Source organism: Homo sapiens, chromosome 13, assembly GCF_000001405.40.
Source record: "Homo sapiens chromosome 13, GRCh38.p14 Primary Assembly".
NCBI classification, from domain to species: domain Eukaryota; kingdom Metazoa; phylum Chordata; class Mammalia; order Primates; family Hominidae; genus Homo; species Homo sapiens.
The window spans coordinates 73,811,313-73,829,654 of record NC_000013.11 but is presented as its reverse complement, the minus strand read 5'-3'; the positions used below and the strand labels follow the sequence as shown (position 1 = coordinate 73,829,654).

The following is an 18,342-nucleotide window of genomic DNA, read 5'->3' as shown; positions in this document are numbered from 1 at the left end:
TAAGTTTCAGAATGCAGTGTCCATCTGATACCCGGGCATATTAGAATATGCTCAGAGAAGAACTTGGTACTAGACCTTATTTATGCATCTATGTATAAATGTAAATGCACATATACAGAGACAGATATATGTGGACATGTATATATTTTTATTAAAAAATGATACCACCTAGAACTTTATAAACCAAATGAAACTAGTTGACTTGTTATAAAACTCTTGAATTTTATCCTCTATCTTGTAACATCTGAGAAAAATATCCTTATTATTTAAACAGATATGTTGATTACAGTACTGATTTATTTTGTTTGTTGCTCTCTGACTCATCTGTCAAAACTAAATAAAATTTGGCCTGCCAGATTCAAAAATTAAGATTTCTTTTTTAAATTTTAATCTCCAATTTTTCAGCCTTTTGCTTTACCCGGGAATTGTGCAGTGTATTTCTTTCTATTCACTTATTCATGTGATTAATACACATTCATGATTTAACCACATGCACAACGTACAGTACCCACAATACACTCACAGTCAAATGGATAAAGCAGACAAAAAAGCCACAGTGAGACAAGCTCTGTAATCCAGTGAACCCAGGCTCACAGAGGTGGATTGCAAAGGAAGAGGGGCAGTATACTCGGTGGTGGTGTTGGGTGGCGGTGAGGTGTGGCTATCACTTCAGGAGAAGGCTGTTTCTCAGAAGAAAGTATTAGTTACATTCTCTGTGTAACAATGGAGGAAAGGAAGGGCAGTTTTTAAAAAATGCACTCTTGGAAATACAAAAGGGCATACTGTATCCTGGTAGATAGATTCGACAAGTAGATAAGTTGGTATTGTTCAAATGAAAAGTACTTAAAAGAAGCGGAAATGAAGCTTAAGGGCAGTATTCATGTATGTAGTTATCACAGACCTTCTGTGCCAAGCTAACGATTTATTTACTGAACTCTACAGGGAAGCATAGGAAACTTGGAAGTAGATGGGATTTAACATGGTAACATTAAAGTTTTGGGCATGAAGGGTTGAATGTATTGAAAATACAGGGAGGGAGACTATTTCAGGAAGCCACGTGAGAATTCCTGAGAGCCTGAGCAGGGTGGTGTGAATGGAAATGTGATAGAATTTGTTGGCCAGTTGGATGTCAAGGATAAAGGAAAAGATAAATCTAGGATAATGCCCAGGTTCTTGTTCTGGCACAAGTAGAAAAGCTGACAAAAACATGAAAGAAAAGTTAAGAGACATTATATCTAAAAGACGTATATCTAAAATGACATTTATCAGAATAGATAGAACGCAACTTTCAGAGAGATGTCTTGGAATTTGGAAAAATTAAGGGAGATTATGAATCTTAGATTTTAGACAAACTCAGTAAAAATCAACTCACATCTAGATATAGTACAGTGAAATTGTCAAGCATGAGTTCCCTAAACAAAATCTTAAAAGCTTGTCTGCAAAGGAATTTAAGAATGAAAAGACTTTGGGCACCAACAGATGCCAGAAAGCAATGCAATAGGCTCCTCAAAGGGCTGAAAGATCCTGAAATTCTGTACTGGGCTGAAATAAAATTCCATTAAGAGTGAAATTAAAAAAAAACAAAATTCAGACATACATTGACTGAGAGCTTAGTGCCCACACATATGAGTCTTATGCTGATAAGACTCATAAAGAATATACCTTTGCAAACAGAAAAACCCAAAAGGAAAGGAGAGCTTAGAACTGGTTTGAAAAATGTAGATAAATATATGCATGAAGATAACTTTTAATTAACTCTTGATAGTAAAACATGCACCAAAATTCTGGATGGGCCCGGACACAGTGGCTCACACTTGTAATCCCAGCACTTTGGGATGCTGAGGCAGGCGGATCACTTTAGGTCAGGAATTTGAGACCAGCCTGGCCAGCATGGTGGAACCCTGTCTCTAATGAAAATACAAAAATTAGCCGAGCATGGTGATGGGTGCCTGTAATCCCAGCTCCCTGGGAGGCTGAGGCAGGAGAATCACTTGAACCTGGGAGGCAGGGGTGGCAGTGAGCCAAGATTGCGCCATTGCACTACATACAGCCTGGGTGACAGAGACTCTGTCTCAAAATAAAAAATAAATAAAAATAGAAATAAAAAATTCTGGACCAAATGATAAATGGGGAAGGTGGGAGTGTTCTTTGGATAGTTACAGCATGCTCAATCTTGTATTTGGGAGGAGAATTGACAACATGGAATAATTTTAGACTTCAGAAAAATTTTAATATCTGGAAATATTAAGTCTTACAACAGTATGGGGAAACGTGGGTATTCACATACTAATGTGAGTGTAAATTGATTCAACAACTTTGGAGATCAATTTGGCAATATTTGGTAAAATTGATATGGGCACCCCGTAATTCTCAGATGTATACTATGAAGAAAGTTACAGCAGCATTTGTAATAGTGAATATTTTTAACAAATTAATTTTTCATCACGAAAAGGATAGATAACTAATACTGCTCCATTTAGAAAATGGTATCTTTTACTATTAAATGAAAGAGTATGAATAAATCTCAAAAATACAATGTTAAATGAAAAAATCAAATAGAAATATCATATTGTTGGCCAGTTGCGGAGGCTCATGCCTGTAATCCTTGTGCTTTGGGAGGCCAAGGTGGGCAGATCACTTAAGCCCAGGAGTTCAAGATCAGTCTGGGCAATGTGGTGAAACCCATCTGTACAAAAAATACAAAAGTTAACCAGGCATGATGGCCCACACCTGTAGTCCCAGCTATTCTGGAGGCTGAGATGGGAGGATCACTTAAGCCTGGGAGATCAAGTCTACAGTGAGCCGAGATCATGCCACTGCACTGCAGCTTGGGTGACAGAGTGAGACCCTGTCTCAAAAAAATATATATGTGTGTGTGTGTGTGTGTGTGTAGATATGATATTGTTATATGCCATTTTAAAAAGAGCAAAACTGTAGGTATTGTTCATGGACATATATGTAGTTAAGGGCCAAAAATATGAATGGGAAGGATATACACCAGAATACTGTGGAAGAAGGAAACAAAATAGGAATTAAAAAAATACAAAGGAGCTTTCAGCTCTTTCTGTGATATTTAACTTAATGATCTAAAAGAAATACCACGAAATGTTTAGATATTTTGAATCTTTTGGGAAAATAAATAGCCATTTTATGTAAGCCTGGAATTTCTTAACTAAGAAATGACTTGACATGAAAGAAAATCTGTAAGTAACAAGTTTATAAGCGAGTTAATGAGGGAGCAAGTACTAGACCCTATGTTAAATGGTTGTTTATATTTTCTTTTATATGAAGAATAGTTGGATGTGAGAAACAGTGGGAAGAAATGATTTTCAAGATTTAGGGAGTTCTCCTTTCAGAAATGAGATAAATAAAAATGCTGAAGGGCCAGGCGTGGTGGCTCATGACTGTAATCCCAGCACTTTGGGAGGCCGAGGCGGGCAGATCACGAGGTCAGGAGATAGAGACAATCCTGACTAACACGGTGAAACCCCGTCTCTACTAAAGATACAAAAAAATTAGCCAGGCGTGGTGGCGGGCGCCTGTAGTCCCAGCTACTCGGGAGGATGAGGCAGGAGAATAGCGTGAACCCAGGAGGCGGAGCTTGCAGTGAGCCGAGATCGTCCCAATGCACTCCAGCCTGGGCAACAGAGCGAGACTCCATCTCAAAAAAAAAAAAATGTTGAATGATTGATTTGCCCCTGACATCTTATTTGATAGCTTAAATGTGGCAGGCATGTAGAAAGCTTAGCTACTCTCTTATTAGCAGATGGGTTTGGTTGGGGTGTAATGAGACACCCTGGATCTCAGATCTCAGCTAGCCTCAGGGACAGCAGGTGCTTAGAGTGGAGGTAACCTGGCATCTTTGGTCAAGGAAATCAAGGCCAGATGATGTTTAGAATACATATTATTAGAGCGGTATGAATTTCTCTGTTTTTTTTCAGTAGAAAATCTGTTTTCCTTATATTACAAAAGACAGTATCCAACCTTTCTATTTATTAAACAACTACACACAGCAACCTCAAGCACCATGCAATTTATCAGAAATTTGCCTGGCAAAGGCCAAGACCTCATCCTCTGTCATAGCTCTTATCTTCTTTAGAAAATGTCTCTTTTCACAAAACCAAAATGGGCTTTCTAAAGAAGTTAGTGTAAGCCCAGTTTAAAGTTGGGAAAGCAGAGAAGACTAGTGTGTACCTCCTATGCTCTCTTGGTGTTATAGTGTATACTATAGCAGTGTTCTCACTTGCTGCACCTGGACTGTCTCGAGACAGAATTTTAACTTTGATCTTGTTCTTCAAGAGTCATTTCCGGAGATACTGCCACTGCCACCTCCCTAAACAAGCCAGAGCCTTGAGTTCCTGGGCTCAGGAAGTGGTCTGACCAAACAAACTCCAATGCAGTGGCCATACCTGAAGCCCAAGGAAGTCATACCATTCTAGTTCGTGGAAACCTCACCAGCCTTCACAGAGACTAGCCAATTTATCATAACAGGGGCAGGAGAAGGGGGGCACTGTTACAAAATATGGAAATCTCTTTAACAAACTCCAAAACACAGAGAATGCATATTTCTATTGTTTTTTTTTTTGAGGCGGAGTTTTGCTCTTGTTGCCCAGACTGGAATGCAATGGTGCAATCTCAGCGCACTGCAACCTCCGCCTCCTGGGTTCAAGCGATTCTCCTACTTCAGCCTCCCAAATAGCGGGGATTACAAGTGCACGCCACCACGCCTGGCTAATTTTTTGTATTTTTAGTAGAGATGGGTTTTCACCATGTTGGCCAGGCTGGTCTCGAGCTCCTGATCTCAGATGATCCACCTGCCTCAGCCTCTCAAAGTGCTGGGATTACAGGTGTGAGCCACCGCGCCCAGCCTGAAATTAGAAATCTATATTTCTAATAGATTGATGCGGACTAATGGAATTGTTCTTTCTTATAAAAGCATACCAAACAGAATTAATGTGGAAAAGACCTTTCATCCAATTTTACAGAGTAAATTTTTCTCTTCGGAGTTGGTATAAGATGAGGACATGAACAAATACGTCCTTCAACCAAGATTGAAACACAGGAAAAAAAATACAGTAATACTGTTCTTTTGGCTCGAAGATATTCCCAGTCATTTTTGAATAGTGACAGCATTCACCATAGGATGGGACAATCCTGAGGAATGCACTGGGGAAGTGAAGAGTCAGCACTTAATTTTGTTCTCAAAAAGAAAAATTATATTTCATGATTTTAGCAGAGGAGACCCTGACATTCACAGATACAACATCTAAGATATCTGCTTTCCAGTGTCCCAGAAGTCTGTTATATAGCGCTTATATTTAAGTTCCAAGTTAGAATCCTATGCACCGGGGGTCAGTTTATGAGTGAGACTGCACAACTACGGGGCTCATCTCAATGGCACTTTGTGTTCTCTGCCTGTGGCCCGCACAGTAACTCTTGTGAAGTGTGGGTGGAAATGTTCTCTGTGTATACGTGTTTATCAACCGATCAAATGAGAAAGAAAACTTTGATAGGGTTTTTTTTTTTAATGTGATGTGAAGATGTACACAAGAAATATGTAATTCTTGATGGAAACGTGTTCAGGGTGTAGGGACAAATGTGTCCATCCCTGAAGCCAGAGGAGGAGAGTTTTTAAGAAGAGGCCAGGCCAAGTGCGGTGGCTCATGCCTGTAACCCCAGCACTTTGGGAGTCCAAGGCGGGTGGATCACCTGAGGTCAGGAGTTTGAGATCAGCCTTTCCAGTAAGATGAAACCCTGTCTCTACTAAAAATACTAAAAAATCTGGGCATGGTGGCATGCACCTGTAATCCCAGCTACTCGGGAGGCTGAGACAGGAGAATAGCTTGAACCCAGGAGGCAGAGGTTGCAGTGAGCCAAGATCACACCATTGCACTCCAGCCTGGGCAACAAGAGCGAAACTCTCTCTCAAAAAAAAGAAGAGGCCAGAACTACAAATGAAGAGAGATAACCAAATCTTGAAAACTATAGAAAGGTCCAACAGTATGTATATAAATAATTCTCAATTTTGAGGATTTTTGATAGTCTTAGACCATATCTTCAAGAACGTCTACTCTGCTTCTAAAAGGAATTCAATCATGATTATGTATCAAGACTTATCTTTAACCTTGCAGGTTTAAATATATTCTAAAATGAGGCACGGAGAGCATACTAATTGGAGGAAGACAGCAACACTGATTCTCTATGTGGCACAATAGTTCTGCATGCCTCCGCCCACCCCTTGCTTTTTTAACTTTTCAACTTTGAAACTAGCAGAGAACCCTTCTGTGGTAAATCATTTACATACCATCTAGCTGTATATAGCATAGTTGATATAAAAGCAGACTTAAGTTCGAGGTGGATTTTTTGCTCTTTTTTTTTTTTAAGTATTTCTTACATTTAAAGTACCTAAGACTAGGGCTGTGATTTGGTGATACTTAAAATTATTATAACAGATTTTAATCTGCCTTAAAAGATTCCATTTTACTCAGTACACAAACTAGAAAACACAGATAGGGGCAACAGACCAACTAAGGGAAATAAGAAAAGTGAATAAAATGGCCATGGATTAATGCCTAAAACCTTCTCTGTACATTGCAGATGAAAATGAGTTTGGTGATCTCATTGTTCTCCATATGTGTGTACCACAAAATCACTTTATTATTATTTTACATCTCTGCCTATAGTAGTTTCAGTTTTGAATAAATCGGTTTGAGCTGATTGGCTTGGTTTGGAGCAGTTATAATGAATGAACAAAAGGCAAAGGTTATGGGGAATAGTGGTGTGGTGATATCTCAGAGGGCTCCTAGAGTTCAGGGCTCTTGGCCAGCTCTAGAGTTAGTGGAAGCACACACAGTGGAAAAACCTACTTATTAATGGAAAATTTTATGAACTTTTAGAAATCACAAAAGCCTTTTATGCTCTAAGACGTACTTTCAGGAAACAAGACAATTGTAAATCTCTATTCATTTTCTTTTTATAAACAAGAAAAGTAGTCTTAGTCATGATTCTTTAGAAAAATGAAACTCTAGTAGCTGTTGTGACTTCAAAAAAACATGAATTTTTAAGTTATATTTTATTATTATTTTTTAATAGAGATGGAGTCTCACTTAGTAATCCAGTCTGGTCTTGAATTCCTAGGCTCAAATGATCCTCTAGCCTGGGCCTCCCAAAGTGGTGGAATTACAGGCATGAGCCACCACACCCAGCCTAAACTAGGATGAAGGATGAAATTCCTTCATTTTAGTTTCCAAGCGGTAATTCATGTGATAGAAATGAGAGGTATTTGGTAGTGTTTAAAATGATTTCCTGAAAGGAAAGCCCATTAAATGGAATTTAGCTGAAAAGTGAATAAAAATTATGAACGTTTTCATTCCCATGTCATCCCAAACCAAAAATATAATCTAAGACTTCAGAGAATAATAGAAATTTAATGATTGTGACTTTTCTCTCACAAATGTTAATATTAGAATGTAAGTCAGAATGTAATTTTTTAAATGAAATGTGAGCTAGACACTTGCATCATTATATTGCAGAATCTCTCATCAGCTGGGAATTACTGTGATCATTTTCAGTAGAGATCTGCATTAAACTTTACATTTTACTGTGTACAAGGGAGTATAATTGACGTGGTCTCCCCTCTCAAGGAGTAAACAGCATAATTGGAGAAACAAAATAAGTGTATGCCTAACTATAATTCAAAATGGAAAGTGCAAAAATGCCATGAAAATATATAAATACAAAGTATAGGTATTCTTTAAAAAGGAGAGATGCATGTAGTTAGAGAAGGAAAAGAAGGGTCATGAAGGTATTATTCTGTAGGAAGGGTAGATTGTGGTGGCAGAATTGTGAAATGGAAGGAAATGGCTAGATAAAGCTGGATTCAGGGGCTTCGGGGATAAGACTCATCATTGCTCCCAGTGGAAAATGAGTTGTAGGATGCGGAGGGCTGCTGAACCATATTCGGTAGACAGTGGGAAAAAGTCAAGGATTTCTAAGTAAGGAATGTCTTAAGGAAAGCCCTGCATACATTCAGTTACCAGAGAAATGCTCCATGGGACAATTTGTACAATAGGACTTCAAGGAAGTCGATGAAAAGCAGTGGGAAAAGAAAATAATCATTGGGTAAAAGCAAGAGCACTTAGCATCCGATTTAATGAGGGGCACAAATGAAATGAATCAAAGTTTGGAACGTGGGTCACTGGGAAAAGGATCTCTCAGCTGAAACTCAGAAACCAGGAGAAAGAATAGGACTTGTGTTTGAAATGATTTTTGAGGAATACTAGTCAGTAGGATGCTGGAAATGAGACTGGTGTTTAGGGGAGAGGTCAGAGCTGAGAATGTTGATTTGGTATTCATCCCTTCTGAGATAGCAATTGAAATTGGGGAAATTATGGAATTCTTTGGAATTGCTGAGAAGCTCACCAATAAAGAGGCAGACAGAAAAGAATAGGTAGCGAAACCTAGGGCAGCAACTAACACTTAGGGGTATACAGAAAGGAGATGAAGAAGTTAGAAGGATAGATAACCAGAGAGAGACAAAGGCCCAAGAGAATAATGTATTTCAGTCAGCAAATACTTTTTCTAAAGCCAGATAGTATTTTATAACCAGACCTACAGTTTCTGTGACAACGACTCAATCCTGTTTTGTAGCACTAAAGATGCCAGATATGAAGTAAATGACCATGGCTGAATAAAACTTTAATTACAGAGACAGGTGGCAGGGCCCACAGGGCTTAATTTGCCTATCCCCGAGGCCAAGGGAGAAGAAAGTTTTAAGAAGAAGCCAGAAATGAAAGTGAAAAGGAATAACCAACAGTCTTGAAAACTGTAGAGAGGTCCAACAGCATTACAACTGAGAAGTGGACCTTGCACTAGGGAATTATAAGAACATTATGAGGTTATTTTTTAATATAATGGTAGCAGAAGCCATTACACTGTCAAGTGAACAGACAAAAATTGGGGGAAAAATGAGTAAATTGCATATTATATCTACACAGTACCAACATCCCAAGATTTACATAACTGATTGAACTTTTAAATAGTCATCTGGGGTTATGGCCATCACAGTTGCTGCTCTGTAGAGGCATTAGCATTAGCAAAAGTAAAGGAAACAAGAAACAAGGCATTGTCGAAACATTAGTAAACAAAACAGGACCCTGGAGAGCTATTTCTAATCTTGGAGTTCACCGTCCTTTGAGTCAAGCTTTATTTACTCATGAATGTTTCTCTCACTATCTGTCTTGATGTGCTAGGAAAATAGTCTGTTTGAACAACTGATATTCTGAAACCAAATGAAGTCAGAATATCACTTGTACAAATATATTAGGAAGGACGTGCCACATAGACCTTGATGTAACCAAGTCCTGAGTTTTAACTGATTCTGTGTGCAGCCAGCAGGAGGTGACCAAGGAGAAAAAAAGCTAGTGTTGTTTTTAGGGAATGTTAATGTCATAGATGATTCCTGTGTGTGTGGCTCCAGCTGAATCCCCCACTATGCTCCAGGCAGAGATAGCCAGAGGGATCCTTATCAAATGATAAAATTTTGTATCATGTCATCCTTCTGCTCAGTACCCTCCAATGGCTTCCCTTCTCACCCAGAGCAAAATTCAAAAGCCTATGTCACCCTCCAAGGCCCTCTGTACTCTGCATGCCCTCCTCTGCCTCCTCTCTCTGTCCTCATCCAGTTCCCTGTATTGGTTCCAGCCACAGCTTCCTTGCAGGTCCTCAGGCACATGAAACACATTCCTACTTTATCACCTGTGCACCTGTTATCTTCTCTGCCTGGAATGCCCCTCACCCTACAAACAAAACCCAAAAACCCTCACCTGCAAGCTTCTCTTACTCAATTCCTTCAAGTCCTTGCTGAAGTATCTTCTTCTCCATGTGGCCTTTCCTGGCCACCATCTCAAAAATTGTCCACTGCCACTATGCAACCCCATCTGCTTTCCCTGCTTCATTTTTCTATATGGCACTTACTATCTGACGTAGTATATATTTTTCTTTTTTGTTAATGATCTGTATCTCTGCAGCATGAGAGCAGGAATTTTAATCTGTTCACTCTTTTTCACTCTTCTTTCTCCAGCCAGAAGACTGCTTGCTACCTCGTAGGTGTTCAATAAATATCTGTTGACTAAATACATAAATGATGTAAATAAGTAGTAGTTTTATATATTATCCAATATGTGTTCTGCCTCTGTAATGGTATTTTCAGTTTAGGTACACGTGAAAAGAAAACTGCCTAATTTGAATAGTCCAGGAGATGGTGAGAGATTTAGAAGGAGTGTTATAGAAGGGAATGAGTGAAGAAGCAGTAAATTTACTGTCAGGGTAAAATGGAATGATGATTGACTACTAAGAGCCAGGCCAGGACTAAGTGCTTTGCATGTATTATCTTCTTTACTCCTTAGAGCAGCAGTAGCAGGAGAAGAAACTGAAGATTCCCGGTGCAAAATCATTGCCCAAGGTCAGATGTTGCAAATGACAGGGCCAGAAGTCATCCCATGTTCCCTGAAGCCAGAGCCATGTTTTTATCCTAAAGAAGCTTCCTGACCCTCCTTTTCTGGAACAATTTCTGCATAGAATGTGTTGGAGGAGGATTCTTCTACCTACTGATACTATGAATTTTCCCAAACATTCCTCCCCAAACATTCATTTTTCCCTTTGTTCCTGCACTCCCCCTCTGCCCTCCTTTCTAGAATAAACCAGCAGCTCTCCTGGAAGCCGGGGTTTCTCTAACTGGGACATGTTTCAGCCTTGGCAGGGCGAACAATTAGGGCACCTGCAGATAGCAGGGAGCCTGTCCGTAGCTAAAAGAGGGAGAAAAGAGGTCCATCAGCCCTGTGGCGCCTGCCTGGGCAGCCACTTCACACCTTCCATCTGTGTATGGCCCTCTCCTCTCCAGCCCTGGCGCGTGGAGGTGAAGGGATTCAGTATCTGCTTCTGGGATTCATTCCTGTTAGGAAATGTTAGTCTGTAAGTTTTCATATATGTTCTTAGATTGTTGTGTCGTACACATTTAATATTGCAACCTATAGAAATAGAAGAATGTCCTTTTCCTTAAGAGTGGGTGCATAGGCAAGTTTACTTCAACAGAAGTTAGAAGAGTGTTTGGTCTTTAGACAGCAGGCAGGCTGGGGTGAGGGGAGGTGAGAATGAATTAGTGTCCCCTGCATCTGTGTCAGTCTACTATTACATGAGGGGAGGAAACAAGCAAAGTTTAAATGTCTCATGTGAGCTGAAGAGAAAAAACATGAAATATACCTTTGGGTGACCATACACCAGTGAGAACCCACCCATATGAGCATCCTATCAAGTCTCAGCTGAGGAGAAGAGCTGAAAAAGTGTTCGGCCGGCGCAGTGGCTGTCGCCTGTAATCCCAGCTACTTGGGAGGCCAAGGCAGGAGAATTACTTAAATCTGGGAGGCGGAGGTTGCAGTGAGCCGAGATCGCGCCATTGCGCTCCAGCCTAGGTGACAGAGTAAGACTCCATCTGAAAATAAATAAATAAAAATAAATAAGTGTTGTTCATCATAACTAAATGGCCCCTTAGGGCCCAAGAAGAACCTTAGCTGCACAATACTGAAGGATCAAAGAAGATACTGCAAAAGCCAAAACACCTGTAAATACATTTGAATATTTTGAATTGAAAAGTAAATGATGCAGAATGCAGTAGGTAGCTTTTATGTCACTAAAACAAGGTTGGTTCTTGGGAGGAGAATAAAGAAGAATGTTGTTAAAAGTAAACAAATCTAATTTTGCACATCTTAATTGGCTTTAATTTGATTCCAGAATCAGACAACAGTCTAGACCAAAAATGTTCAGAATGCTTCACCCTACGGCATATGCAGATTATATTTATAGCCAAAGAAAAGGAGGTGACATGCAGAAAATGGAAGTGAGGTACAGAGACAGCTCCGTTGGTTAAAATGCAGCATATGCCTTAATTGAATCTGGTTTCAACAGTTGGCCATCTTTGATTGACCGAAACTCAGCTACTTGTTGCAAGAGGAGGTTACGGTCTGTTTCCACGTCAAGTTAGGTTACAGTTCACTATGTACAGAAGAAACTTTAGGCCAAACTTAAAACATGTATAGAGGCAGCTTTAGGCCAAACTTAATTCAATTTAATATTGTTGTAGGCTGACTGTAATTGTAGTTGTAGTTCATCTCCATCATTGCTAGGAAATCTCTAGAAGGAGCTGGGAGAATAACCTGGTGCACTAACTTTTTATTGCTGCCCTACAACTAACCCTAAAATTTAGTGGAATAAAATAGCAAGTCTTGTCTTTTTCTTTCTTTTTTTTTTTTGTTTTTCTTTTTTTTCTTTTCTTTTTTTTTTGAAACAGGATCTCACTCTGTTGCTCAGGCCTGGAGTGCAGTGGTGTGATCGTAGCTCACTGCAGCCTCAACCTCCTGGGCTCAAGTGATCCTCCCACCTCAGCCTCCCAACTAGCTGGGACTACAGGCATATGCCACCACACTCTGCTGATGTTTTAAATTTCTTGTAGAGGTTGGGTCTCACTACGTTGTCTGGGCTGGTCTCAAACTCCTGGGCTCAAGCAGTCCTCCTGCCTCAGCCTCCTAAGGTGCTGGGATTACAGTGGTGTGAGCCACTGCACCCAGCCTAAAACAGCAGGTATTTTATTTGCTCAAATTCTGTGAGTCAGAAATGTGGCATGGGTTTAGCCAAGAGGTTTTCAAGCAGGTCTCACCTGGGGTCACTCATGGTGTAGTCATCTGGTGACTGTAATGTAGCTGGTGAGTCTAAAATGGCTCACTGACATGGCTCACAGTGGGATTGGCCGCCTGCTGAGCAGCATGTCTCCTATAGGCTCTCCCGGGCTTCTTCACAAGTTGACTAGGTTCTAAAAAGAGCAAGGGAAAAGGGGAAACCCAAGGTGCAAGTGCTTTTCAAGCCTCTACTTGTGTCACATTTGCTAATGTCCCATTGGTCACTTCAAGTCTTAGAGCCAAGCCCAGAGTCATTGTTGAGAAGTGGCCACATCAGGGCATGGATACAGACAGACATGATTTATTGGAGGGATCGTTATAGTAACAATCTACCATAGGAGAGTATTTGAAAATCAGAGTATATCAGTTCAACTTCAGGTGTTGGGTTCTGAAATTTTCTCCCCAGGATTTTGACACATGGAATGAAACTCACGTAGGATTCCAGAACACCTCCAACTCCGAGGAATGACACCTCTACCAGCAGTGAGCTGGGTTACCCAAAACTGTCTGATCCCTTTTTCATTAAAGAGCAATAAAATCTTAAGTGTAAATTTTTTTCAGGTGTTTATAGATCATCTCCTGTTCTCTTACTTACAGAGGCTGATATTTTTTTGTTTCTGGTGTCCAGATAACTTTCTTTGGTCTTTAAATGGGCATGCCAGAGAATCAGTCCTTCCTAAATGGGCTGAGATGCTCAAAGACTGATGGAGGTTAACTAGGGTTGATGTCCCTATTCTACATTTAATAAAAATAGAGTGGAATTATGCAAGTATGCAGATAAGCTAATCATCTGACCTAATCAGCAATGCAGATTTTGAAAAGCCTTTCTAATTACTTCCTCAGCTTGGCTGAAGGTATGGGTAAAAAGATTTTCCCAGCATGATGGTAGCAGATGTATTTCATAATATTTATTGAAAATATTGGAAAGAAATCCTCAATTATGCTCCTGAAAAGTACATCAAAAAGATATCATATTTAACATATTTTAAACTTTCATTAAGATACAAACATAACATAATTAGATGATCATGTAACAACTCTCACACAAGGTTTTGGAATCTTTCATACAATTAGACTTTAACTTTCAGAGCCAGATTGCTCATGGTTAACTGCCTCTATCTTCCTTGAGTTGTATTACTTACTATAAGAGCTCTAGTTGTCTTGGACAAAATGGTACTATCAGAATATTTTCTTTTTTCTTGGCTGTTTGCAAATTTGGTATCTTGGCAAAGGCATCGTAGTGCATGATGTTTCAACAACTTTAAATGTTAAATTTTTGACATTTACAGGTGTATGCAACACCATACAATATGTGATTTGGAAGCTTAGATAGATCTGATATTCATTTTCTTGGCTGGCTTTGAATAGTTGTGAATGGCTGTTAAATGAATCATTCTAGAACAGGATTGCCCCAAAAGAAGCTATCTATGAGTTCCTAGCTGAATTCATATTATTACACAAAGTCATTCCTGGATCCTACGTTCCTTTAGTGTTGGTTGTTCATCTTGACCTTCCATTCTGTGAGCTGCCCATTATCTTTCCAGTACATCCCTTTTAATATAAGTTAGCCTGAGCCAATTTCTGTTGCCTACAGCGAAAATAAATCTTAAATGATAATGGTTCCTTCAAGTGCCCTTCGAGTGACTGGGTAGTTAAGCTGTCTGTTACCAGATAGTGATGGAACTGGTTGCTTTGCCCTACAGTTTCTCCAACATCCCTCTTCTAGTGGATCTCCTCCAGAGATCAGATGGAAAACAAACAGTCTTTTTGTCTCATAGCTGGTGGTACAAAGAAAATATTCAAAAGCTCTTAATGAATATTATTGCCTAATTCCTAACATTTGAGGAGGTACAGAGTCACATGACAGTGATTTTTTTTTTTTTAAGACAAGGCCAGAAAATATGGATAATCTGGTATGTGACAATTTCCTTGTTAGCCATGTTGAAATGAGAGCATAGTTGCATAGGAACTGAAAGTCATAAACTGTGACACGTTTTTATGTCCAGACTCTTAAATCCCTAGATCAGTTCCTCAACCTGGGTACTTCTGCCATTTTGGACTGGTTCAGTCTTTGCTGTGAGAGGCTGACTGTCCTGTGCATGGTGGAATGTCTACAATATCCTTAGCGTCTGCCCACTAGATGCCAGTAGCACCCTCCCTATCCCCCGCCCCAAGTTGTGACAATCAGTAATGTCTCTGGATGTTGCCAGGTGTCTCTTGGGAGGCAAATTTGCCCTTGGTTGAGGACCATTACTTTATATTATTTGAATTATCTTCTTTTAAATTTAGTATTTACCAAACACTTCCATTGTGCAAAGCACGTTTTGGTATATTTATATTTAAAGTCAGGATGTGTATCAAATACACGGGTGCACACGAGGTTCACTAGATGTAAATTCTTTCCTAACCAAGTGTAGTTAGAAACGTGATGAAATATGTTGAAACCGTCTAGGTATAGTTTTTCTAGCCAGACTGTAAATATTAGACACAATCATCCGAAGTTGCCATTTCGTGGGTAAAAATGGTACATTCTCAGCAATTCCATGTGGTTCGGTGTAATGTATGATACACAGTAACCAAAAAAAGTGATTTGAGACCAAAAAAATGAAATTATGAAATGTACCCAAATGTCATTATGACCATGATTTCACCTGCATTTTGCCTTCCCCCGCAAGCAGTGGTGGTTTTAGAAATCTTAGGCAGCCATACAATTTAACAGTGTGGGTGTGTAGCTCATGTGGTACTTTTCATTGAAAAGATATGCCTAGTTTGTGCGTGAAGCGAGGGCTGATAGAAATTCTGGGCAGTGGTTGCTAAATCTCTTCACAGGGAGAAGGAGATGGAAATGAAATGTAATTTTTAAAAATATGTGTTAACATATGTTGACAGTAAGTAACCCTCTCATTTGAAAGATCTGATAGTCTTGGTCAACAGGGGTCAGAACATTGTGCCGTTTCCTGCTTTGGCAAATTCACGATTGGAGAAGAATCATATCTGGAAAAGTAAAACAGGATAGAGTTCAAGAGCACTGTTAGCACATATAAACAAGATTTCTAAAATGCTACCACTTCTGCCATTTTTATGCCTTCAAATCCCACCTTATAGTAGTAATGAACTTGGAAACAGTGATTCACTGAAGTAAGAAAAATACGTATACTTTCTTTTAGTCACGCAAGCCCTGTTCTTTTAACTTATTATGAGAGCTATAAGCAACTAATATCTCCTTTCCGCATGCTCTCTACCTTCCAGGGAGAGTGCTAATGAGCAGTGAAATGGCCAGAGCTCTGGCAGCAGAAGCAAGGAGGAGGAGAAACCAGAGGGTTGAACAGTAGCTCAGGAGCTACGTTATCAGCTTTTGACCACTCAGGAGTTGGTAATATTGTGGATTTCGTAGTTTCTATTCTATAACCATACCCTGAAATTCTTGAGAGCTGGTTTAGGTTTTGTAACTCCAATGAAGGGAAAAAGAATCAGTAAGTACTCAGAACATAAAACCTGGAGCTTTCACTGATTCCTGTGATGTCTAGAGAATTCCATTTGCATGATATGCACAGAAGTTCCATACTTGATGTTGGTCCAGGACAAGGTTAACTTTCTGCGCACTGATTTTAATTCATTATATATGCCTTTTCTCTCCAGCACAAATGGACCCCCGAGGCCTATCTCCCAGACAAAGTAAAAGTGACAGTGATGATGATGACCTGCCAAATGTGACCTTAGATAGCGTTAATGAAACTGGATCTACGGCCCTTTCCATAGCCAGAGCAGTACAAGAGTAAGTATCACATTCACAGGATGAATTAAGAATTGCCAAGGTGTTCAATGGATAATGGAAACTGCAGCATCTCCTGTCCCCCAGCCATGTCATTCTAGCTGTGAACTGGCACGAATGTCAGCAGCTTTTCATTCAGCTGAATGCTCTTTGGGAGATTAGGGCAGAGAATGGAGTGTTTTAATGAGTTGGAAATTCATGCTTTGATGAGATATAAGACCTATGTGCATCTTTTCTAATACCTCCTGCACCCTTCTCCTGAACTCTGCAAAAAAAAAAAAATTGTTATTTTTGAATGTCACTATTTGATTATCATCATCATTATTATTACACAAAGTCAAGGGAAATATGGCAAAGTATTGTTATCTTGTTTTGATAGGAAATTACAGAATAGCTTTTTGGAAGATTTAAATTTGGAAAATAATATGTTCATCCTTTGAAAAGTAGTACTCATATGTTATTTTTAAATGAATCTTTTCTCTGTCCTTTTACCTGGACCGCAGGGTTAGATTTCAGCCCTCGTTTATTGAAAATAGCTGCTTTTCTATCAGTCAACCTTGTACCTAGAATTGAACCTAAATGATTGAAAAAAAAAATCCATGTTTTTTTTTGTAGAATAATTTTTTCAGCTTTATTGAGGTCTAATTGACACATTAAACTTTATATACTTAAAGTATATGTGCTGATTTAACATACATGTACATAGTGAAATGTTTACCACAATTAAGTTAATTAATACATTCCTCACCTTACATAGTTTTTTTTTTTGTGAGAATGCATAAGTTCTACACTCCTAGAAAATTTCAGGTATACAGTACAGTATTATTAACTGTAGTCACCATGCTGTATATTAGGTCCTAAGAATTTCTTCTTCTTCTATCTGCAAATTTGTACCCTTTGACCAGTATCTCCTCTTTTCTCTGACACCCCAGCCTCTGGCAGCCACCATTCCTCTCTGTTCCTATGAATTCAACTTTTTAAAAAATCTTCCACATATAAGTAGTGTCATACAATATGTGTCTTCTAGAGTAATTTTTAGTAACATAATCTTGAAGATGAGGAGGGTTTAAATAGCCACTGTTATTGCTGACATACTTGTTAATGAACAGTTCACTCAAAATTATCTTAGTTACCTTTACCTCTGTTATATCCATTTATTTTCCCCAAATGTTGATTAAATACCTACTTTGTTTTATTCATTAGGCTTTGAAATTAAAAAACAAAGAAAAGAGAGCCTTGGTATTGCATTTCAGAATTCACAGCATAAGTGTATGTCTGTGCGTATATAAAATGAATAATATATCTATGTTATAGAGATAATTTGTATTATATGTTGATATTGTATATGAATATACATATAATACATCAGAGAAAACAAGATATAATTGATCTAAAATGAAGTGTGGAGTCAGATCTGGATACAAATTTCCATGCAAGCTCTTAATAGCCGTGTGACTTCTGGCAAGTTATTTAATCACTCTGAGGTGAGAAGAAAATCAGAATAGTTATCTGACAGGACTATTGAGAAGGTTTTGATACAGCTACGAGGTGTGAAAAGTAAGTCACAAAGTTTTGGCATATAGAAAGCTTCAATTATTGGTGGAATTAGTATTATAGTAGTAATTAGTAATAATAGTACTAATAGTAATAGTACTAGTGCAGTAGTTTAAGTTTATAACCACGAGGAAATATAAATACAGCAAGAGTCATTATTCTGATTTTATAAATGAAGATACTGAGGATCAGAGGTTGATGACTTTTCCAGTCACATAATAAATGGTAACAAGACAAAGTTTAGAACTTTGAGCTCCAAAAACATCTTTTTCTAGCCTATAAATCTGT

The 18,342-nt window shown here is 38.9% G+C and overlaps 1 protein-coding gene across 20 annotated transcripts in view; it reads left to right on the top strand.

The window, feature by feature from the left end:
• KLF12 (KLF transcription factor 12) overlaps nucleotides 1-18,342 on the top strand; it is a 619,957-nt gene that overhangs the window by 476,391 nt on the left and 125,224 nt on the right. For all 20 annotated transcript variants that reach the window (NM_001400153.1, NM_001400139.1, XM_011534909.3 and 17 more), the window contains one exon: nucleotides 16,368-16,503. In NM_001400153.1, coding sequence (NP_001387082.1) covers nucleotides 16,368-16,503 — 136 coding nt within the window. The remainder of the gene's footprint in view (nucleotides 1-16,367; nucleotides 16,504-18,342) is intronic.